This window comes from Homo sapiens, chromosome 5, assembly GCF_000001405.40.
Source record: "Homo sapiens chromosome 5, GRCh38.p14 Primary Assembly".
Lineage (NCBI taxonomy): Eukaryota > Metazoa > Chordata > Mammalia > Primates > Hominidae > Homo > Homo sapiens.
Genome location: NC_000005.10, coordinates 55,276,772 through 55,301,227, shown reverse-complemented (window position 1 = coordinate 55,301,227; position 24,456 = coordinate 55,276,772). Strand labels below are relative to the sequence as shown.

At 37.0% G+C, this 24,456-nt stretch overlaps 1 protein-coding gene and 1 long non-coding RNA gene across 7 annotated transcripts in view; one reads left to right on the top strand and one right to left on the bottom strand.

Annotated features, from left to right (window-relative positions):
* DHX29 (DExH-box helicase 29) overlaps positions 1-24,456 on the top strand; it is a 51,640-nt gene that overhangs the window by 6,467 nt on the left and 20,717 nt on the right. For 3 of the 6 annotated variants that reach the window (NR_144323.2, NR_144324.2, NM_019030.4), the window contains exons 2-13: positions 2,564-2,637; positions 3,830-3,943; positions 4,879-5,008; positions 5,704-5,849; positions 7,083-7,211; positions 10,884-11,010; positions 11,800-11,958; positions 15,367-15,532; positions 15,812-15,935; positions 17,417-18,025; positions 19,713-19,856; positions 23,946-24,122. Coding sequence is in view for 3 of the 6 variants with exons in the window: in NM_019030.4 (NP_061903.2) it covers positions 2,564-2,637; positions 3,830-3,943; positions 4,879-5,008; positions 5,704-5,849; positions 7,083-7,211; positions 10,884-11,010; positions 11,800-11,958; positions 15,367-15,532; positions 15,812-15,935; positions 17,417-18,025; positions 19,713-19,856; positions 23,946-24,122 (2,099 nt within the window). In the remaining 3 variants the exon portion in view is untranslated. Of the gene's footprint in view, positions 1-2,563; positions 2,638-3,829; positions 3,944-4,878; positions 5,009-5,703; positions 5,850-7,082; positions 7,212-10,883; positions 11,011-11,799; positions 11,959-15,366; positions 15,533-15,811; positions 15,936-17,416; positions 18,113-19,712; positions 19,857-23,945; positions 24,123-24,456 lie in introns of all 6 variants that reach the window. The other 3 variants (NR_144325.2, NM_001345964.2, NM_001345965.2) reach the window with 2 other exon arrangements.
* Positions 5,926-24,456, bottom strand: part of CCNO-DT (CCNO divergent transcript) — a 61,409-nt gene continuing 42,878 nt past the window's right edge. The window contains exons 2-5 of the long non-coding RNA NR_185977.1: positions 21,579-21,695; positions 18,076-18,200; positions 17,400-17,458; positions 5,926-6,388 (exon numbers count right to left, since the gene is read on the bottom strand). This is a non-coding gene — a long non-coding RNA (CCNO divergent transcript). The remainder of the gene's footprint in view (positions 6,389-17,399; positions 17,459-18,075; positions 18,201-21,578; positions 21,696-24,456) is intronic.

Here is a 24,456-nt window from a genome sequence, read left to right as displayed (position 1 = left end):
TGAATGCAGAAGCTAGATGTTACGAACTGAATGTTTGTGTCCTCAAAAAATTAGTATGTTGAGACCCTTACCCCCAGTGTGGCTATATTTGGAGATAAGGGCTCTAAGGAAGTACATAAGGTTAAATGAGATCACAGGGATGGGGCCCTGATCCAACAGGATTAGTGTCCTTATAAAATGAGATACCCAAGAGAGCTCAGTTTCTCTGAGTAAGCACAGAGAAAAAAGCCATGTGAACATATAGCAAGATGATGGCCACCTACATGCCAAGAGAAGAGGCCTCAGAATGAAACCTCCCTTGCTGGTACCCTAATCTTGGACTTCCCAACCTCCAGAACTATGAGAAATAAATTTCTGATGGTGAAGCCATCCAGCAGTCTGTGGTATTTTGTTGTGGCAGTCTGAGCAGACTAAGATACCAGATATTAAAGAGATTTGCAAAAACGGATATTATTTTTTGTCTTGAAAAATATAGTCACATTTCATCTTAAGCATCATTTATATTAATGGAACAGGTTTATTTTTATTATTTTGTTGAGGTCCTTTTGTTTTTTTGAGACAGAGTCTCGCTCTGTCTCCCAGGCCAGAGTGCAGTGGTGCAGTCTCGGCTCACTGCAACCTCTGCCTCCTGGGTTAAAGCAGTTCTCCTGCCTCAGCTTCCCAAGTAGCTGGGATTACAGGCATGCATCACCAGGCCCAGCTAATTTTTGTATTTTTACTAGAAATGGGGTTTTGCCATATTGGCCAGGCTGGTCTCAAACTCCTGACCTCATGTGATCTGCCCGCCTCCGCGTCCCAAGTGCTGGGATTACAGGCATGAGCCACCACACCTGGCCTATTATTATTATTATTAGAGACAGGGTCTCACTCTGTTGCCCAGGCTGGAGTGCAGTGTTGCAGTCACAGCTCACTGTAGCTACTACTGCAGCCTTGAACTCCTGGGTTCAAGCAGTTTTCCTGCCTCAGCCTCTTGAGTACCTGGGACTTCAGACATGTGCTACCACAGCTGGATAATTTTTGTAGAGGCAAAGTCTCACTATATTGCCCAGACTGCTCTCAAACTCCTGGGCTCAAGAGATCCTCCTACCTCAGCCTCCCAAAGTGCTGGGATTACAGGCATGAGCCACTGCGCCTGGCCAGATTTATTATTTTTGGTGAATGAATGTTTTAAAATTTCCCTTTTAATTTATAATATACTAAGTATCAATAGACATAACCCACATAAACAAAAACTATTTGGATCCTCAGTAATTTTTAAGAGAGTAAGGGGTCATGAGACCAAAAGTTTGAAAATAATGTGTGTTGTTTCCTGGTTACTCATTGTTAAAGGACTGAGACTAGACAGCGTTTCTGTTCACTGGAACAGACTTGGCAACTGTAGTGGGTTGAGTGAGTAGTGTCCCCCCAAATATTCATGTCCACCTGGAACCTCAGAATGTGACCTTGTTTGGAAATAAGCTCTACAGATCTGTGGATCTTGAGATGAAATTATACTAGATTTAGGGTGATTCCTAAATCCAATAATGAATGTCAAGAGAAAGGAGAGGGACATTTGGACACAGAGAAAGGGAAGAAGGCCGTGTGAATGAGGAGGCAGAGACTGGTGTTATGCTGCCACCAGAAGCTGGAAGGGGGAAGGAACGATTCTTACCTAGAGCCTTCAGAGAGAGCATGGTCCTGCTCACACCATGATTTTGGAGTTCTAGCTTCCAGAATTGTGAGAGAATAAATTTCTGCTGTATTCAGCCATCAAGTTTGTGGTAATTTGTTATGGCAGCCCTAGGAAACTATAGCAACCCTGGACTTGAGTTCAAGGAGAAAAGATGATAGGAACTCCCACCTCCCTTTTCACTTAGCATACCACCTTCAAGAAAGAGTGCTTTCTCTTTAAAATTGTCCATCTACTCTGCCAACAATCATATCTTAGAAGTTTTGCCTCAGCTAAGTGCCAGGAGAAAAGCATCTGACTAAAAGATATGAGGATAAAGATAGATTTAACCTAAAAGATATGTAGGCATTTGCATTTTATGAGAAACTGGTTAACATGGAGTAATGCTAATTGGTAAAATGTTGAAAATTTAGAGAGGATATTGCTAGCTACTAGATTGAGTTATTTGGTGAAGTATTGGGGAAAAAAGCTGAAATCAAATATTTAATATTTAGCATTCTTTTTTTTTTTTTTTTTTTTTTTGAGACGGAGTCTCGCTCTGTCGCCCAGGCCGGACTGCGGACTGCAGTGGCGCAATCTCGGCTCACTGCAAGCTCCGCTTCCCGGGTTCACGCCATTCTCCTGCCTCAGCCTCCCGAGTAGCTGGGACTACAGGCGCCCGCCACCGCGCCCGGCTAATTTTTTGTATTTTTAGTAGAGACGGGGTTTCACCTTGTTAGCCAGGATGGTCTCGATCTCCTGACCTCATGATCCACCCGCCTCGGCCTCCCAAAGTGCTGGGATTACAGGCGTGAGCCACCGCGCCCGGCCTAATATTTAGCATTCTTTAGAGGAAAATTAAAATAATGTAATAGATATTAATCATTAAATTGCCTTGTCTATTTGTATTTACAGGTCCAAAAATTTATAGTTTTAATTCTACAAATGATTCTAGTGGTCCTGCAAATCTGGATAAATCTATTTTGAAAGTAAGTAACAAAGGTTTTGAGTCATTTCAAGAAATGTTTCCCCCTTTTTTCCCCCAAAAAAGATGTATCCTTAAATGTAAGAAAATGATGGGGTGTTTTAAATTTTTGTAAATAGTACTCTAAGAGCTAATCTCTACTAAAAATAAGTAAATCATACACATATGTTGAGAGACAGTAAGAAATGAAGGAAGGCCTGGTTAAGATCTAAACTTCTTAAGCATGGCATATACATTTTTTCAGGTCTGTCTTAGAATACCGTTTCACCCTCCTCTCTGCTACTCTGATCTCTACTTAATATTTTAGTTCATGGGACATCTCATGAATATCTCATTTGTTCTTCTAAATCCGTGATTTTACAACTTCTAGCTTTTACCCATGTACTCTCTGCGTAGAGTGCCCTTATTTCCCCTTTTTATTTGTCACCTCTGTGACCTCTATGAAGTCCTTTATCAACCGCCAAGTTGATTTTCTTGGTGGTTCTACTATTACTTGATATATCTTTTTTGAGAATTGCCATGCTGGGTTATAATTTGTCTCTTTATATATATTTTCTGGGCTAGACTGTGAATTTCTGAATTATATTTTTGTGCTTAGTTTATAGTAGGCATTTAGTTAAAAAGTAACAAAGGGAAGATATTTTTGTAAGTAGATGCTTGTGTACTCTTAGGTCAAAAATAACAAAAGAACAGAAAATAAAATGGCTAGTAGGAAAAAGTAGGAATCAAAGTCTAGAAGCCAAAAGAATTTGTGTAGCTTATTACGACATATTTAGTTTTCAGTTTTACTTGTTATACCCGTTTTTAGTATAGTGTTCATTCTTTTAGGTTGTGTGCTTGCAGTGGTTTACATTAAATCCCTCCAAGAATTCTGATTCAGTATGTTTGGGATAGAACTTAGGAATCTTTGTGACAGCAACCCAAGGGTGGTCCAAGGACAATGTCTCGTGACATTGCCCTCAAGAGGCTTTTTCTTGCCATGTGTTATCTTGTTGCTTTTTTCATATCACATTTTTTCTTAAAGAAATGATAGGAATGTGGTCAAATGGGTGGTAGTCCAAAAAATGATAATTACTGTATCTGATTTTAGCTGAAATTTTGGGCTTGGTTGGCAGGAATATAGAAAACTGTATGATTGGCTTTTAATTTTTTAATAATTTAGCTTCTAAATGATATGACCTTTTTGGCCTCAACAGGTGGTAATTAATAACAAACTAGAGCAAAGAATTATTGGAGTGATCAATGAGCATAAAAAGCAAAATAATGACAAAGGAATGATTTCTGGAAGACTTACTGCCAAAAAATTGCAGGTATTTTGCAAACTTTTTAAAGTTCCTTAGTTTTAGTGAAGCATTTTTAGACAGCTCCTCATGTGAGATAAAAATGGCTTTACAACTTCCATTGAGATTTTATGTAGATCATTTCCATCTCTAAGAATAGAGAAAGAATTGTGCACACCTTAAATCAAGAAGGTACAAGTGCACACATTAAAATGGTGATATGAAAATTAAGGTATATCCCCAGAATTATATTATTGAGCACCTACTATGTTAGATTCTGTGCTGGGCACTTTGTTTACATTTTCTCTGACACAACAGTCCTATGAAGTAAATGTATTTGGCCCCATTTTTTCAAGTGAAAGAATTGAGGCTTGCAAAGATGCCATAAATTATACCCTAAGGTTACTAGTAAACAGGGTCTGGATTTGAACCCAGCTCTGCCTAACCATAATGATTATGCTTTAGAAAGTATGTTAAAATGCTTTATCTTTATCTATAAAGATGTTCACTGAAGCACAGCTTGTAATAAAAAAAAAATATGTCCTAAGTGTTCAGCCATAGAAAAATATAAAATTAAATCAGGATATGTCCACCCAGTGGAATATTATGTAACTATTCAAAGTGATGGTGCAGAGTTTCTACTAACTTGGGAAGGTGCTTATGTTATAATGTTAAGTGAAATCTCTTTTTACAAAATTATGGAAAAATGACTGAAAAAAATGTACTACATTTAGTATCTTTGGATAGTGAGAATATGGATAATTTCTCCTGGTTCTCTTTTTTAAAGATCTCTGGTTTCCAAATTCTTAATTCAGTAAACACATTTCATTTTTAACTGGGAAAAAAAAGATAGTTTTGAAATTATAATTTGTGTCAAAGTTTCTGGTTTAAAATGAATGGGATAATTAGTAACACAGGAAGGGAACTTTGACAAATGTGACTTTTTTTATATTTGCTTGTCATAGGATTTATACATGGCTTTACAAGCATTTTCATTTAAGACAAAGGACATTGAAGATGCCATGACCAATACACTCTTATATGGAGGTGACCTTCATTCTGCCTTGGATTGGCTCTGTTTAAACCTTTCAGATGGTAAACAATATCATTAAATTCTTTCAGTTTCTAAACCTTTTGAAGTAGTTTTGGTATTTGTATCAACCTTTTGGCTCATACTCATATTTTTTCACTGTCATAATTATTTACTTTTAAAGTGTTCTTACCTTCTGTTCTTTTCAGGATATTTTCCTTAGAGATTGTGGCCTATGCAAGAAAATATTATGTTTTGTGTTCAGTTGTTGATTGTTATTTTGCTATGTCCTTAATACAAGGTTTGCCTCTCAGTAAGCTATGTCTCCTGGCTTTTCATTTAGAAATTAGGACTGTCCTTGAATATATAGTATTTTATTAAGCAGAGGATCATGATTGTAATCTTTGGCAAGAATCTGGAGTGCAAATGGCTTGTGGTGACTAAGGATACTACCACATGCTGTGACAGAAAGCCAAAGAGTGGGAAGGATTAAGATCTTATGACAATTTAGGAGCCTAACATTGAGGGTGAAATAATGGCCAAATACAAGAGGGCTAGCTATCATCTGATGAGTACGTTCACTTCTAGGTTGACGGATAAAACCAGGTTCATCTTAAGATTTCTATTCTTAGGAGATGAGGGAATAGAAGAAAATTAGGTGCTCTAAGTCTAGGCAAGGTTTACAAATGCTTAACAAATATTTGTGTGTTTTATGTATCATATGCCTGTTTATTTTCAGCATAGTTTCTTTTATTTTAAGATGCACTTCCTGAAGGATTCAGTCAGGAATTTGAAGAGCAGCAACCTAAAAGTAGGCCTAAATTTCAGTCTCCTCAAATACAAGCCACTATTTCACCTCCATTGCAACCTAAAACAAAAACATATGAAGAGGACCCTAAGAGTAAGGTAATTTGAGAATTAAGCATTTAAAGTTGTATAAAATCAGAATGGAGCACATGTAACAGTTCAAAGAGTATAAATATTAGGTTTCTATAACATTTTTACTTCTTACAAATAACTAATTGGTTTGCTAGACTTTTCTATCATTGCTTGTTTTAGTTATATAACAAACCACTCCAAAATGTAGTGGCTTAAACCAACTATTATTTCTCATGATTCTGCAGTCTGTGCTGGGCTCAGCAAGGTGTTTCTTCGGTTCCAGGAAGTATCTTCCAAGGCTGGAACATCCAAAGTGGCTTCTTCACTCCCATGACTAAGCTGGAGACTAGCCAGGCATCCCTCTGTTTACATGTTTTTTCCACATGACTAGCTTGGGTTTCCTCACATATAGTGGTCTTAGGGTGGCTGGACTTCTTATTGCATCTGGCTTCCAAGAATATTTTAAGATGATAAGCCAAAATGTACAAATTCTTATCAAACTCCTGCTTTATTATTCTTGCTAATGTCCCATTGACTGAAGTAAGTCACATGACCAAGCCCAGAGTCTGTGGAAGAAAATTACAGATGAGTGTGAATAATGGGACTGTAATTCATTAGGGCATTACACTTAAATACTCTGCATATTGTAAAACGTCTACGAAAAAATAATCCTCATAAAACCACTGTTTTTAAGGAATAACACTAGTTTTTTTGTTGTTGTTTTTTTGAGACAGAGTCTTGCTCTGTTGCCCAGGCTGGAGTGAATGGCACTGCACTCACTCGGCTCACTGCAAGCTCCGCCTCCTGGCTTCACGCCATTCTCCTGCCTCAGCCTCCCGAGTAGCTGGGACTACAGGCACCCTCCACCACGCATGGCTAATTTTTTTGTATTTTTAGTAGAGATGGGGTTTCACCGTGTTAGCCAGGATAGTCTCTATCTCCTGACCTTGTGATCCGCCCGCTTTGGCCTCCCGAAGTGCTGGGATTACAAGCGTGAGCCACCGCACCCAGCCAACACTAGTTTTTAACAGTTCTCCTTTCATTCTTTTTTACCGCTTTATGTAAACATATTCTTTGGATTTTGCAATTGTAAATTTCTTAATGTTAAGGTCAATTTATTTGTCCTTCACTGAGCAATAAGGAATAACAGCTTATATGTCTGCTGCTTTTGAGTGTGAGGAAATTGTAAAAGCAGTGACAAGATAGTTTTGACACCTTTTTCTAACTTTGGTTTTTCAGATATTTGTTTTCTCTTTCTAGCCAAAAAAGGAAGAAAAAAATATGGAAGTAAATATGAAAGAGTGGATTTTACGATATGCTGAACAACAAAATGAAGAAGAAAAGAATGAGAATTCTAAAAGTTTAGAAGAGGAGGAAAAATTTGACCCTGTGAGTAGAAATTTGTGTTAGGCTTCTAACTGGATGCTCTTAAGCAAGATATATTTCCTTTTCTGAGCCTTAGTTTGCTCATTTGTAAATTGGAAATGTACCTCCAAGGGGTTGATGTGAAGATTAAATAAAATAACACTTAGGCAAAAACTTAGCAGAAAGTTAACTGCTCAAAAGATGTTAATTAACATTTCTCATATTTAAAGAGATAATCATCAAATATTTTAAAATGATTTTTATGAGTAAGGAGTATGCTAAATTCTTTAGGTAATAAAAAAAGATAAGGCACGTTCCTTTACAGAAGTTCACGGTCTAGAGAGAAAAACATAGACATCATATGGTAAGATAGAAATATAAGGCAGAAAATATACTAAGTCAAAAAAGCAAGGTATGGGAAATACTGTAATACATATATCTGACAAAGGACTTCTATACATAATTATATAAAGAACCTTTAAAAATAGACACCTCACAAAAGTAGATTAAATTAGAGAAATGAAAATGAAAACTTAAATGAGATACACTATATATCCATCAGAATGGCTAAAACTAAAAGGATCAGTAATACTAAATGTTGGGAGGAATGTGGAACAACTGGAATACTCATATTGCTAATGGGAGTGTAAAGCTAATGGAAATGTAAAATGGTACAGCCACTTAGGAAAACTGGTCCTTTCTCATAAAAGTTAAACAAATACTTGTCATGTGACCCAACAATTTTATTTCTAGGTATTAAGAAAAATTAAAACATTTGTTCACAAAGACTTGTACACAAATGTTCATAGCAGCTTTATTTATATTAGGCAAACACTGCAAACAGCCCATATGTCTGTCAACAAGCAAATGGTAGAAGTTGTAGAACAGCATGTGTAATCTGATGAATTCATTTGTGTAAAAGAATATATATAGCTACGTATTTGCTTTTTTACATAAGCAAAGAAAACATCTGGAAAGAGACACAAGAAGCTGTTACTGGTGATTAGGACCAGGGTGGTAGGGTGGGATGGAGAATTCTTTTTTATATTCTTCTGTATATCCAAGTTTTTTTAAACCATGTTTCTGTATTAAACTAATATAAGTAAAATATTTAGGGCAGTATAAGTCTACTTTGAGATTTGGAGAAAGAAGAGGTCTCTTCTGATTGGAGCATTAAGTCAAGACTTCAAAGAGATGGGACCTAAAGGATGCACAGAGTTCAGACAGGCAAAGAAAGATGGGAAGATGGTCCACATGTGTGAAATAGTGTGAACAAGGGTACAGCTGTGGAATTGTACAAGGAGTCTTTCAGTAGTAAAAAATGGATGAGCATATATAGAGATAAGATGTATAGATGAGTACTGGTAGATAGGAGTAAACAGGTGAGTTCACCTGAGACTGGAAGATTTTGATGTCCAGAAGGTGATTTTGACACTTTTCCTTGACAGTAAAGAGCCACTACAGATTTAGGGGCAGGTAACTGACAAGAATTTTTAGGTCAAGCTTAGTAGCATTCGAGGTGGTTTGGAATATTGAGTGATGTTTAGAGCAATTTGGAAAGGGTAGGGAGGCCATTATGGTAGCTATTGCACTTGCTCAGGTGTGAGATAATAAAGGTTCATATCGGTAATTGGAAAGGAAGAGAGACATTTGTAAAGCAAGAATCAGTAGAAATTGGTGATTTACGGAATATAAAGGCTAAGGAAGATTTCTTCAGAGAAGATACACAAATCACCAGTAAGTGTATGAAGAAATGCTCAACATTACTAATCATTAGGGAAATGCAAATCAAAACCACAATGGCATACCATTTCACACCCGTTAGGATGTCAGCTGTCAAAAAAAACTGGAAATAATAAATGTTGACAGGGATGTAGAGAAATTGGAACCCTGTGTACTGTTGGTGGGAATGTAAAATGGTGCAGCCACTGTGGAAAACAGTTTGGTAGTTCCTCAAAAAATTAAAAATTGAATTACCATATGATCCAGTAATTCCATTTCTGGGTATATACTCAAAAGAATTGAAAGCAGAGTCTTGGAGGAGATATTTGTACACTGTGTTCATAGCAGCATTATTCACAATAGCTAAAACGTGGAAGCAATCCAGTACCTACCAATAAGATGAATGAATAGGTAAAATGTGGCATGCACATCAAACTGAATAGTATTCAGCCTTAAAAAAGAAGGAAGTTCTGGTACATGCTACAACACGGATGGACCTCGACCGACATTATGCTAAGTGAAATATGCCAATCACAAAAAGACAGATACCATATGATTTCACTTATATGAGGTTCCTAAGTCAAATTCATAGAGACAAAGTAGAATGGTGGTTGCCAGGGGCTAGTGGGGGATGGGAGAATGGGTAGTTATGCTTAATGGGAATAGAGTTTCATGTTTGCCAGATAAAAAGCGTTCTGGAAATGGATGGTGGTGCTGGTTGTACAACATTATGAATGTATTTAATACCACTGAACTGTACACTTAAAAATGGTTAAGATGACAAATTTTATGGGGGAAAAATGTGCCAAAGATGGCAAGAGGTGCATAAGTGGAGGGATGGTGGTATCATTGCCAAGTACAGGAAAGATGGAAAGGATAAGTATTATTTGGGTGAATTTGAGGTGGTAGCTAACCCTCCTGTCTGTTACACTGTATTGATATTTGTCTTTACACAAAATGGTACCAAAATTCGGCTAGATATGCTTGCTTAATTGTCTCTTTTTCCTTCTTTTAACAGTTGTGTTTCCTTCTGCAGTCCATAGTTTTATGCTTCTAATCTGCTGTCACTTATTAACCTAAGGGGGAGAAAAACAGTAATTTGAGTTTAACTTTAAACTCTTCCTAGTTTTTGCTCAGGAGTCAAGTCATGTCCTTGAGGGTTATGACATCCGTTTTCCTCAAAAGCCATTTTTTTCCTGTCTTCCATAAGATAAGAGATATGTGAAGTTAACTTTCAGATGAGTATTATTATTACTGCATGAATAATCCTTTAAATACACATACTTATGAAACAATTTTTTTTTGAGACAGAGTCTTGCTTTGTCACCCAGGCTGGAGTGCAGTGGTACGATCTCAGCTCACTGCAGCCTCTGCCTCCCAGGTTCCAGTGATTCTCCTGCCTCAGCCTTCTGGGTAGCTGGGATTATAGGCATCCACCCCCACACCCAGCTAATTTTTGTATTTTTGGTAGAGACGGGGTTTTACCATGTTGGCCAGGCTGGTCTCGAACTCCTGACCTCAGGTGATCTGCCCACCTTGGCCTCCCAAAGTGCTGGGATTATAGGCGTGAGCCACCACACCTGGCTGAAACAGTTTTTATAGAAATGAGCTCTACTTTTTATTCTGCAGTTTGCTTTGGTTTACTAACATGTCAAGGAAGTTTCTCCATGTGGGTCACCCTCTTTCTTTTGCTAACCTTATTTTATTTTCTAATGACTGAATAGTCTTCTCTGTAGAGATGTGTCATATATGATTTCCAGTTTTTCTTTTACAGTCAGTGCCTCACCAAACATCTATGCACCTGCAAATCTGTGCATTTGTTTTATTTCTCTATGAAAAATTCCTAAAAGTAGATTTGCTGGATCAAAGGATAAGGTAAAAATATCACAGATTTTGATACAGTTTATTGACCATAGATAAACTAATCTTGCTCTTCTTTTTTTTTCCCCCTCCTCATTGTTTTATTTGGAACAGAATGAAAGGTACTTACATCTTGCAGCAAAACTGCTGGATGCAAAAGAACAAGCAGCTACCTTTAAACTAGAAAAAAACAAGCAAGGCCAAAAAGAGGCTCAGGAAAAAATAAGGAAATTTCAAAGAGGTAAACACTTTCAAATACTTAGATGTATAAATGTAATTGTCTTCTATTTGTTGGCCTTCCTGGGATGGATGATGCTTCCTTTTAATATGTCTACCCTTTTCTAACAGTTTATACATGGGATTAGCAAACTTTTAAAATAATAAGTAGTAAATACTGTGGACTTCATGGGCCATACAGCCTCTGTTACAACTATTCAAATTTGCTGTTACAGCACAAAAGCAGCCATAGACCATACAAAAATGAATGGCTATGTTCTAATCAGACTTTATTTATGGATACTGTAAATTTCAGATAATTGTATCATGTCACCAAATGTTCTTATAACTACTTGAAAATGTAAATACCATTCTAGCTTGCAAGCCATACAGAAACAGCCAGTGGACTTGATTTGGCCTACAAGACATAGTTTGCCAACCTATGATTTTTATACCATAAAATATCGTGGTCATTCAAGAGAGAAAGGTGAATACAATTCCATGAGTATTTATTTTAATGAAGATGTTTGTTTTTCCAGGCTTATTGCACCTATTAAATAATTTATTTTAAAATTTTTGTATATGTTGTGAAAATTAATAAATTGCCTCTGATTCCTGCACAGATTCCTAACAGGAATTATTAAATAATTGGCTACAAGGAAAAAGAAGGAATGCAGTTTTTTTTAATCATTTTAAAAAATAAGGCATGAAAACCATGAAACTCTTGGTGTATAAATACCAAAAAAGTAAATAAATAAAAAATAACAATTTTTTTAAAACCATGAAACTAAACATTATATTTTTTTCTTGGTAGAAATGGAAACTTTAGAAGACCATCCAGTATTTAACCCAGCCATGAAGATTTCACATCAACAAAATGAAAGGAAAAAGCCTCCTGTAGCCACAGAAGGAGAAAGTGCATTGAATTTTAATTTATTTGAAAAATCTGCAGCTGCTACTGAAGAAGAGAAAGGTAAAATTAAGGGAAGATGGTCAGGGTGTAATTTGTAAATAATAAAATGTCAAGAAATATATAATGGTAAAATTCGTTACTTTGCATTCTGGCAAAGTACGTAAGATGGCAGTGAAGTTACACTTTATAAGCTGTCTTGAAAAAGTATTAACAATTATGATTACACATGTACAGCATTTTGTAATTACAAATAAATATCTTGCCTCAGTCTCATCTCTCTCTGATTCATCTCCAGACTGCTGCCAGAGTTATCTTTCTATAATACAGATCTAAATGTGAGTTTCCTGCCACCTTTAATGGCTGTGAGCCTACTGACATCAGTAACAAGTCCAAATCTTTTAGCATGGCATTCTGGATCTTTTGCATTCTGCCACAATCTACCTTTCTACCTTATTTCATTGGCTTATTACTCCAGCCACCTTACTCTTGAAAACGTTGGCTGTTTTATGGTTTCATTACTTCGCTCATCTTGCTACCCCCTACTTGGCCAACCTGTTCCCAGCTCAAGGCTTAATGCAAACAGCTCCTCTTCCCTAAGCCCTCCCTAACTCCTTCCATACCACCAGACAAGTAATCATGTACTTCTTTGTGCTCCCAAGTTAATTATTTTTTTAAAAAATTTTTGAGTTAATTATTGATATAGCAAGTACAGTATTTATCAGATTGCATTTTAGTTTTGAGAAGACCATTCACTATAGGATCAAATAATATTTTAGTGTTAATCATAATACTATAATTTGCATTATAGTTTTTAGAAGACCAGACTGAATGGTCTTCTAAAAACTATGGAAGTGTTTTAGTTATTTTTTTAAAATAATAGTATATAGTAAATAGTATAGTATTATGTACTATAGTTTAATAGTATACTATTTACTAATAGTAAATAGTATAACATATAGTATTTATCACATTGCATTATAGGTTTTAGAAGACCATCAAGCATAGTATTTGTCAGATAATATTTATAGTATTTATCATAATACTATAATTTGCATTATAGCTTTTTTGTTGTTGTTTTTTGTTTTTGAGATGGAGTTTCACTCTTGTTGCCCAGGCTGGAGTGCAATGGCATTATCTCAGCTCACTGCAACCTCCATCTCCCGGGTTCAAGTGATCCTCCTGCCTCAGCCTCCCAAGTAGCTGGGATTACAGGCATGCACCCCCATGCCCGGCTAGTTTTTGTATTTTTAGTAGAGATGGGGTTTCGCCATGTTGACCAGGCTAGTCTTGAAGTCCTGACCTCAGGTGATCTGCCCACCTTGGCCTCTGGGGATTACAGGCGTGAGCCACTGTGCCCAGCCTTTTTCTTTCTTTCTTTTTTTTTTTTTTTTCTTTTTTTCCAGCTCAGGCTGGAGTGCAGTAGCACAATCTCGGTTCACTGCAACCTCCACCTCCTGGATTCAAGCAATTCTCCTGCCTCAGGCTCCCCAGTAGCTGGGATTACAGGCGTGTGCCACCACGCCTGGCTAATTTTTGTATTTTTAGTAGAGATGGGGTTTTGCCATGTTGGCCATGCTGGTCTCAAACTCCTGACTTCGGGTGATCTGCCCTCCTTGGCCTCCCAAAGTGCTGGGATTACAGGCATGAGCCACCGCATCTGGCCACACATTATAGTTTTTAGAAGACAAGACTGGATGGTCTTCTAAAAACTGTAGAAGTTTTTTAGTTAATTGTTTTTTTAAAAAAAAATTCTGAGTTAATTATTGATATAGCAAGTATAGTATTTATCAGATTGCATTATAGTTAGTTTAGTCCCACACTAAATTGTCAGTTTTTTAAATTATTCATTCTTTCAGTAGTATTTATTGTTTTTGTGGGGGATTTTTTTTGAGACAGACCTTCACTCTGTCACCCAGGCTGGAGAACAGTGGCACGATCTTGGCTCACTGCAACCTCAGCCTCCCAGGTTCAAGCGATTCTCCTGCTTCAGTCTCCCAAGTAGCCGGGATTACAGGTGCATGCCTGCATGCCCGGCTAATTTTTGTATTTTTAGTAGAGACGGGGTTTCACCACGTTGGCCAGGCTGGTCTTGAACTCCTGACCTCAGGTGATCCACCCACCTCGGCTCCCAGAGTGTTGGGATTACCGGTGTGACCCACCATGCCTGGCCTCAGTAGTATTTATTGTGTGTTCAGTAATGAACAAAATAACCTAGTCTCTGCCTTTTCCAAGTGTACAGTAGAAAAGGTAAGCTTCAAATATATACAATACGTAATTACAAATTATGATGTGTACTATCAAAGGAAGTAGCTTCTAATATAGATAACAAAGGGGTCTAATTTGGATTGGGAAGACCTTGCTGTAATGACATTTACTCTGAGATTTGACAGATGTTTAGGTGTTAGCCTGGTGACAAGTTGGTGGAACAGTCCTTCCAAGAAGGAGAGGGTACATTGGAATATCTAAGGTAAAAAAGAAAGCAGCACTATTCAACAGAATTTTCAATGATGGAAATGTTCTATATCTGTACTATCCAGTGTCATAGCTGCTAGCCAAATATGAGTAAGAAGCATTTGAAATGTAACTAAGAAACTGAATAATTTACATTTAACCACATGTGGCTATGTCTGCTGTTCTGAGACAGGCATACTTAGAGCATTGAAGAATTGACTGATGGCCATTGTGGTTATAGCATAATAAGCAAGAGGGAAGAGTGGCAACAAATAGGCAAAGAATAGTAAGGAATTTGGACTTTATCTGTAACAGGAAGCTGTTGAGGGTAGTGCTGGTGCCGGTGGCAGACAGCTGATAAACCTAGAAATGACATCTGATTTCTATTTTCTTAATGGTTTAACTACAGAGTAGCCTTCCAAATGTTGCAATTTGTAGTATCCTAAGTTCATCACATGCATAGTGTCATATTTTACAAGAATACATAAGTTCCTCAAGATAATTATTTTTAAAGATTGAGAATTTTCCCGGGTTCTATCCATTAAGAGGATTTCCTTATGTCACATAGAAGAAAATCAAGCTTTTCTATTTGCCCTTTCTTCACCTGTTCTTTTTTTTTTTTTTTGAGACGGAGTGTCGCTCTGTCACCCAGGCTGTAGTGCAGTGGTGCAATCTTGGCTCACTGCAAGCTCTGCCACCCAGGTTCACGTCATTCTCCTGCCTCAGCCTCCCGAGTAGCTGGGACTACAGGCGCCCGCCACCACGCCGAATAATTTTTTTGTACTTTTAGTAGAGACGAGGTTTCACTGTGTTAGCCAGGATGGTCTCGATCTCCTGACTTCGTGATCTACCCGCCTCGGCCTCCCAAAGTGCTGGGATTACAGGCATGAGCCACTGCACCTGGCCTCAAGTATTATCTTCTAAAAGTGCTGTTCTCCAAAGCAAGAGAGGACTTTGATCACTGAAAAGAGAATGCTTGACCATTTTTAAAGAACCAATCTTTGTTTACCATTTTAGATAAAAAGAAAGAACCTCATGATGTAAGAAATTTTGACTATACTGCTCGAAGTTGGACTGGAAAATCTCCCAAACAATTTCTGATTGATTGGGTCAGGAAGAATCTTCCCAAGAGTCCAAATCCTTCCTTTGAAAAAGTTCCAGTAGGTAGATACTGGAAATGTAGGTATGTTTTTTGTTGTTGTTGTTTTTAATTAACTGAATGAACTTTAGAAAAATTTAAGGTGGAAATCTTTTTGTTCCCTGTGAGGTAAGCAGACATTTAGGAAGCTCTCAATTCTACATCTCAGGTTTATTGTCTGATAGATTATCATTATCTAATAATGCCTTCCATGGAAATATTTAAATAATTAACAAACTTGAGTTTAATGTTAATGGAATTCTGAGTTTTTTTTATCTGACTTTGTCAACTTTATTTTTTTAAAATGCGTTTGCTTCTTTGTAGGGTTAGGGTAATCAAGTCTGAAGATGATGTCCTGGTAGTATGCCCTACAATCTTAACAGAAGATGGCATGCAAGCTCAGCACCTGGGAGCTACTTTAGCCCTTTACCGTTTAGTTAAAGGGCAGGTAAGACTTTTTAGGCCTAACTATATCTGTATGTGGAAGGCAGTATTTAATTATGGTTCAATTTTCTCTTTATTGACTGTTTCTTCTGATTAATCCTTTCTCATTATTCCTAATTTGGCTTCCTTTCAACCCTAAACATAGTTTGATCTTTCGTTCCTCTTAGGCCAGAAGTCTGAAAGAGAGAGTATGATGATCCGACTTTTGGAGCTATGCTAATTTAGCTATGCTAAAAACAGTTGTTAGTGTGGTTGAATTAAGGAGAATTTTTGTTTTGAGACAGCATCTTGTTATGTTGCCCAGGCTGGAGTGTGGTGGCAGAGTCATAGCTCACTGAAGCCTCAAGTGATCCTCCTGCCTCAGCCTCCCGAATAGCTGGGACTACAGGCATGTGCCACCACATCCAGCTAATTTTTTTTAAAAAAGTTGTATAGAGACAGGGTCTCACTATATTTCCCAGGCTGAAAATTTTTTAAGTTTGTTTTCCTTTAATGTTATATTGTCTCGCTCAACTTAAAAAAATTATGTAGACATTGCTTCCATTTTTCAATTTTAGGTTATATTAACAATACACTTCCAGTTTCAGGAAAGATTAAAATAAAGTGCTACTGAAGGAAGCTCTTTAAGAGAACATAATGCTCTTTTTTAAAATTTTGGATTGTCAGTGTTTCCTTTTTACAGTAAATGTGTTTCTTTCTTCGTAGGAAATTAGAACCATTGAAAATTTTAGACACTGATTAAGTGGAACTCTGGACAGTAGTTCTTTTCCTATTTCTGCCAGTAAAAGTTCTTAATGTCTTTATTTCCCTTATTTTGCAAAATAAGGCACTATGAACTATTTGCTTGATAAAAATGGCTATCAATGTCAGAGAGAGAATTGTGGATTCTTTATAGCACAGAATTGAGATAACTTAGATTCTATCCAGTATAGTTAATTTAAAATACTTTAACCTGTAACATTATACAACTGCCAGAATCTCAAAAGAACTGCTTTGTGGTTCATTAACATTTTATATAGTGCCACTGCAGGAATAAGTAATAGACATTTGTTCAGTAGTTCAACATATTCCGAGAATAAGCACCTCACATATCTTAACCTCAGAATATGCCTATAAGGGAGGTACAATTACTAGCTCCATTTTAAAAATGCAGAAGCTGAGACACATAGAGATTAAGTGAATTGCCCAAGGTTACACAGCTAGTCAGTCAAGAAGCCTGAATATGATGTGCTGTTTTTGAATTTGCATCATACACATACATATATTAAAGTAATAATAATTTGAGTCAAATTATATTTTAAGATGAATATAGCTATCAAGTGCTAATCAATTGAATTTGCATCATACACATACATATATTAAAGTAATAATAATTTGAGTCAAATTATATTTTAAGATGAATATAGCTATCCTTTTAAGTGCTAATCTATTGAATTTCCATATTGAATAGTTAGTGAAAATAACATACCTCTGTTTTTCCTTTAGTCAGTTCATCAGTTACTTCCTCCCACTTACCGAGATGTTTGGCTGGAGTGGAGTGATGCAGAAAAGAAAAGGGAAGAATTAAATAAAATGGAAACCAATAAACCACGTGATCTTTTTATTGCCAAACTTCTGAATAAACTGAAACAGCAGCAACAGCAGCAACAACAGCATTCTGAAAATAAGAGAGAAAACTCTGAAGATCCCGAGGAATCTTGGGAAAATTTAGTTTCGGATGAGGATTTTTCTGCACTGTCCTTGGAATCAGCAAATGTGGAAGATTTGGAACCTGTTAGAAACCTCTTTAGAAAGTTGCAAAGCACACCTAAGTATCAGAAACTTCTAAAGGAAAGACAACAGCTACCTGTATTTAAACATCGGGACTCAATTGTTGAAACTCTTAAAAGGCATCGGGTAGTGGTTGTGGCAGGTGAAACAGGGAGTGGTAAAAGTACTCAGGTACCACATTTTCTATTGGAAGATTTGCTTCTAAATGAGTGGGAAGCAAGTAAATGTAACATTGTCTGTACCCAACCCCGAAGAATCTCAGCAGTTAGTTTAGCCAACAGAGTATGTGATGAATTGGGCTGTGAAAATGGACCTGGAGGAAGGGTAAGCTGTCATTCAACTCCACCTCAGTGAATGATGGTGACATTACTCACCTTTGCTTTTGTGATCCAAATGGAATGTGTACCATATGTGAGTTTTCACTGCTATTGGTTGATCAGTAGCACATTTCAGGCACTTTTCACATTTTCTTTGATAGATGTGATAGTATGCCACTGTCCTATGAGAAGGATTATCAGTAGAGTTCTGTCATTAAAATTCTCATATAAAAGAAAAAATATATTAACTATAATAATTGAATATTCAAATATGTTACACACTAAATTGAACAGCCAAAGAATGTGGACAAACTCAAATTCTACTAAAATATATCTCAAGTTTTTGCAAACCTTTTCTGTGGAATATATTCCTGAATGATTTTCATTAATTCTTTTCAGTGAGCAGAAGGGAAAAACAGTATAAATTAAAATGTTAGTATTTTCCAACCCCATATTTAAAAAAAAAATGAGAAAAATACTTAAATATCTATTGTCATGCATTTTGCCATGCAAGTATATGCAAAACTGGCCAAACCTTAACCAGAGTGACGGCAAAGTATAGGAATTAGTTTAATTAATTAAACTAGTTAGAACCAAATATGACAAATTGCAAGTTCATGTAATTCTGATTATTTATACTTTGAATTGTTCTTTCTGGAGATGGCATATTATATTTTTATCTCTAAACTGGGTACCCCTTCATTAAAAGTTTTCTATTTAGCAAATTGTCTGGGTTTCTGTCATGGAATAGAGGAGGAAAAAAAAGGCACGGTTTCTGCTGTTAGAGAATGACAGACATATACACAAATAAGACAACGGAATGACTGAAGGAGTAAGAAAGAAAATGTGATGGGGAATGTTACATTAAAATTCCGCTAGGCACTCCTAGTATGATACTAGCTGCTTTTTAATGGTGGCAAATTTTATGAGATCTTGATAGAAAAGTAGACCAAATTATAGAAGCTGCTTAAAATTCCATTCCTGAGTACCTCAATATTTTGCTCCATGATTATTTAGGAAGAAATTAATTCAACATTTATTAATGTTTTAATAATCATATTAATGGTATTTAAAGAAAGTGAACAGTTTTTTTCTCAACATCTTGAAAAGAACAAAAATTTTGGGGCTGGGTGTGGTGGCTCACGCCTATAATCCTAGCACTTTGGGAGGCTGAGGCGGGGGGATCACCTGAGGTCAGGAGTTCGAGGCCAGCCTGGCCAACATGGTGAAACCTCATCTCTACTAAAAATACAAAAATTAGCTGGGTGTAGTGGCATGCCCTTGTAATCCCAGCTATGTGGGAGGCTGAGACAAGAGAATCGCTTGAACCCAAGAGGTGGAAGTTGCAGTGAGCTGAGATTGCACCACTGCACTCCAGCCTGGGCAATAAGAATGAAACTCCGTCTCAAAAAAAAAAAAAAAAAGTTTTTCTGTTCAAATTTGCCAAAATATGAAATATATTTTATAGCTTTATATAGTTGAAGACCATGGGAAAATGCTTTTAATAATAAATTGCACTAAATAGATTTGCTAATATTTGTTAATAAACTAATAATTACTAATATAATAAATTGTACTAGATTACTTACAATGCTCCATTTAACAGCAAGATCAGCACCTCTGCTTCACTTTTTAAAGCTTGTTTCCCATATTACTCATGAGAATCTAATCAAGGCCTTATGTTCTCCCTTTAGAATTCCTTGTGTGGATATCAGATCCGGATGGAATCTCGAGCTTGTGAATCTACCAGGTTACTCTATTGTACAACAGGGGTTTTGCTAAGGAAACTTCAAGAAGATGGTCTTCTAAGTAATGTGTCTCATGTTATTGTAGATGAGGTGAGTGGATTCTATAGTTGTATTCAAAAATTTGAAATATTTTTGTATTAAAAAGATGTTACTCCTAATACTAGATAACATTTTCTTTATGCTTACTAAATTATTATATACCTTATATATAATAATTTCTTGTAACAAATGTATCTCCTGTTAGTTGGTTTCATAAATACTATATAATATTTGCTATATGCTTTTCTATTCAAGGGGATATATATTTGTGTGTGTGTATATATATAGCGTGTGTGTGTGTGTGTACATATATATATTGCTATTCAAAGGGTTATATATAGCGTGTGTGTGTGTGTGTGTATATACATATAGCATGTGTGTGTGTGTGTATACATATATATACATGTATAAAAATCATCAGGCTGTAGAAACTGCACTGTTTGGGGAGTCAGGTCTTTGTGGGGTCCTTCATACCAGCTGGCATCAGTGGGGTCCTTCAGACCAGCTTTGAGTCAGTAGTTTCACTGGCACATAGGACCTGAAGGAATTTCTCAAATGGAAAATGTAGCATTTCATAATGTTCAAGTTATCTATAGAGTAGTTAAGGGGAACGATAATCTAGGGTCTGTGTGATTCTAGGACAATAGGCAGTGAACTACTATGAAGAAGCAGGTCAGAGAACAAGCAGACCTAATGATGAATGCTGAATGTGCTGCAAGCTTGGTTTACGTTTGTTTTTCTTCCTTGATTAATTTTATAAAGTTTATAGGCATGGTTTCACTCTTATCACTAAGATATCAAAGAGAAAGAGGCTGAATGGCTGCTTTTTTATCTGGCCCATGGGCTCCTGCGGGAAGGGAGTAAGGGTAAGGTGTCACATTGTGGCTTTGTATGACCAAGACCTAGATTTAATCAGTATCATCAAGGGTCAACATGAACCAAAATGCTAATTTTTTTTTCTTATTACCATTCTTAAATTAAGCTACAGTATATTTATAGTGAGAAATTCTTACTGTTAGGTAAGTTGAAACATCTGTAGCAGTTAATAAGTTCTGTTGAACTCCAAATTATTACCAGAAAATTGCTTGGTAAATATAGATCAGGATGAACTCTAAAAACCAGACCAACTTCAGGAAGTTGTGTTCTTTCATGGTTTTGTATTAGCCATTTGTAGACACAGTTAACTGAATTGAGCTCCACTGTGATGCCATCAACCTCTTAGACACTACAGCAAGTAAAAAAAGCCTAGAAGTGAAATTCATCGTCATGTTAAGTATTTATTGTAAGAGATGTCAGGACAAAGTCCATGACATTATACAGGACCCTCTTTATGAAGACAGTCAGGATAATGCTCCTTCTGGCCTTACTATTAGGAATTGTGTGATTTTAGTTTGTAGTCAGTGTGTGAATTGAGTAGGTTTTCTTGATGGCTGCTAGTGTGCTTCCAGCCAAATTTTCTGCCCATCTATACCAAGTATACTTCATAGTATGCATTTTTATTTGCTCTATTTTATGTTCTATCCTTATTTTTTTCCTTTAAAAAAAAAATCTGGCCAGGAGCAGTGGCTTGCACCTATAATGCCAGCAATTTGGCAGGCTGAAGGGGGGAGGATCACTTGAGCCCAGGAGTTTGAGACCAGCCTGGACAATATAAGGGAGACCCCCTCTCTCCAAAAAAAAAAAACAAAAACAGCAAAACAAAACAAAACAAAACAAAAAACCCCACACATTAGCTAGGTTTAATGGCTTTTCCCTGTAGTCCTATCTACTCACCTATAGTCCCATCTGCTTGCAAGGCTGAGGTGGAGGATTGCTTGAGCCTGGGAGGTCAAGGCTGCAGTGAGCTGTGGTAGCGCCACTGCACTCCAGCCTGGTCAACAGAGCGAGAGCCTGTCTCAAAATAACAAACAAAAAATCCTTATTTGTATAAATTCCTATCTATTTTATGAAATTTTCCAGATCTATGCCATCCATTAGATTTCCTTTCTGAGCATCAGACTTAAATATCTAGCTACCGTCTAGATACCGTCTCCAGAACTCCAAACTCAGCAGTTCCACTACTCAACATCTTTCCTCCCTGTTCATCTTTTATAACTTGCCCCTTCTCATCTCTTCTCAGTCTCTGAATGATCCCCAGTCACCTGGTCAAACCACCAAAGTAAAAGTGTCTTTAAGATTTTTCCTTCTTTCTCCCACATCCCCTGAATCCAGTCATATAGTCCTTTTATTTTGCCTTTCTCAAGTACATTTACTTTTCTCCGTATTCACTGGCGTTACCCTTGGAGAGGCCACGATTATTTCTTTAACTACTACAAAAGTCTCTAATGAATTAAACTTCCTGCTTTATTTTGCTCTCCTCCACCACATTTTCCACATTGTAGCCAGGATTATCCTTTTTAAAATAAAACTCAGACCACATGATTCCTCTGCTTTAAAATGCATTAATCACTGCTCTTCCTGACTCATTGGGATAAAATCACAACTCCTTAACACAGCTGACAAGGCCTTACAGGGCAGTTTATTGAGTATCTTACCAGCTTTATTTCTGACCCATTCCCCATCCCATGCTCAAGTCATTGTTTTTGTTTCTCCGGTTTCTGAAAGTTAGTATGATCCTTCTTTCTACCATGAATTCATACACACTGTGTACCTTGACATGACGGCTTTTTTCTCCTTTTTTCATCCCGTTTCTTCCTTCTCTTTTTCTTTTCATACTCATTCCTCAGTCCTCAGCATCAGTGGCATTTGTCTTAGTAGCCTTCTTGACCATCTGGATTAGCTATGCTTCAAATATAATTTCAAACCATCCTATACAGTATCTTCTTACTGCACTGAAAACTCAAAGGAAGAGAACTCTCTTGGTTGCTTTTTAAACTCCAGCATCTAGCACAATGCTGAGTACTTATTGTTGGGCTTTGTTCTAAGGGCTTTGCATTATCTCATTTGATTGTCACAACTCTGTGAAATTTGCATTATTTGTATTCTCCTTTTATAGAAGAAATAGACCCAGAATATTTAAATGACTTTTCCTAAGTCACACTGTAAGTGGCCAAGAATTGGACCCTAGCAATTGATTTCAGAGTCTGAACACTTAACCCCTACTGCCTCCCTTCCAAACAAATGAATGATAAAACCTGTTTTGTTATCTTGATACACTTTATCCTTTTGTGCTACCTTAAATCTGTTATAAAATAGAGTAGAAATAAGTCACAGTACAGAAAGTTGGAAGACAGACTCATACAGTCCACAGATACTAAAGTTCTGACAGTATACCTCATCCGTGCTCTTCCCTAAGATGCATGTGTTGGAAGAGCATAAAACCCTTTTTTCTGACAGTGATAGAGATTCTGTCGGATTCCTGCTAGTTAATGCCTCTTTTTCTACCTAGTAGATAAACCATCTGTCTTGTAATGGTGACAGTATAGTTTTATATTAGTGGCAGAGATTTAGGAGTCACTCTTGCTTCTAAGTGAAATTTGGGATATACCTTACATCTTTTTTTTTTTTTTTTTTTTTTGAGATAGAGTCTTACTCTGTCGCCCAGGCTGGAATGCAGTGGTGTGATCTTGGCTCACTGCAAACTCTGTCTCCTCGGTTCAAGTGATTCTCCTGCCTCAGCCTCCCGGGTAGCTGGGATTACAGGTGCACACCACCATACCCGGCTAATTTTTGTATTTTTAGTAGAGACAGGGTTTCGTCATGTTGGCCAGGCTGGTCTCAAACTCCCGATGTCAGGTTATCCGCCCGCGTCGGCCTCCTAAAGTGCTAGGATTACAAGTATGAGCTACTGGCAATAAGGAACTCCTTTTTCATGCACCCCTCAAACTTAGGGTTGCACCCAGCCTTATCAGCTACATCTGATCTGATTTGCAAACCGTCTCCTAGGGTAGAGTCATGCTGTCATGGCTAATCTAGTTCACTATATGATTTTCAGTGACTTCCAATTTTAGAGAATGACTTTATTTTCAGTTCTGAAGATCTGTCTTATTTAAAACTTACAGCTTCTCCCTCCCCGCACATGTACTGACTGTACTTAGATATTGAATAACTTTTAGTAAATCTGGGTGTCTGATTGTTCAAGCCTCTTACTAGAATTTATACAATATATGATGAACTTTTTTATTCCCTTTTTAAAACTAGGTTCATGAAAGAAGTGTCCAGTCAGACTTCCTACTAATTATCTTGAAGGAAATTTTACAGAAACGTTCTGATCTACACTTGATTCTAATGAGTGCCACTGTGGACAGCGAAAAATTTTCTACATATTTCACACACTGCCCCATTCTCAGAATTTCAGGAAGAAGTTATCCTGTTGAGGTAAGTTTTCTTTATAATGTGTGTATAAGCAGAAACTGCATTCCCACCAGGTTCTTTCCCTAGAAGATGGGCACTTGTAGTCAGAGGCCAGAACTATTCCTAGGTACAGTGAGTCAGCAGAGGAGCTGGACACAGCCTTAAGAATCAGATGACTGTTACTGCCTTGCCTGAGGCTGGATAGGAGAGAAAGGAGGGTATTGACTCAAGACAGCAGTGAGGGCTAAAGAACATAAACCTATTTTCACGTGAAAATCATTATATTCAGATTAAGAGTTGCTGCCCTTCCCTGGTCATCTGATGGCTATGGGAAAAAAAAATAAAAAGAGTGGCTACC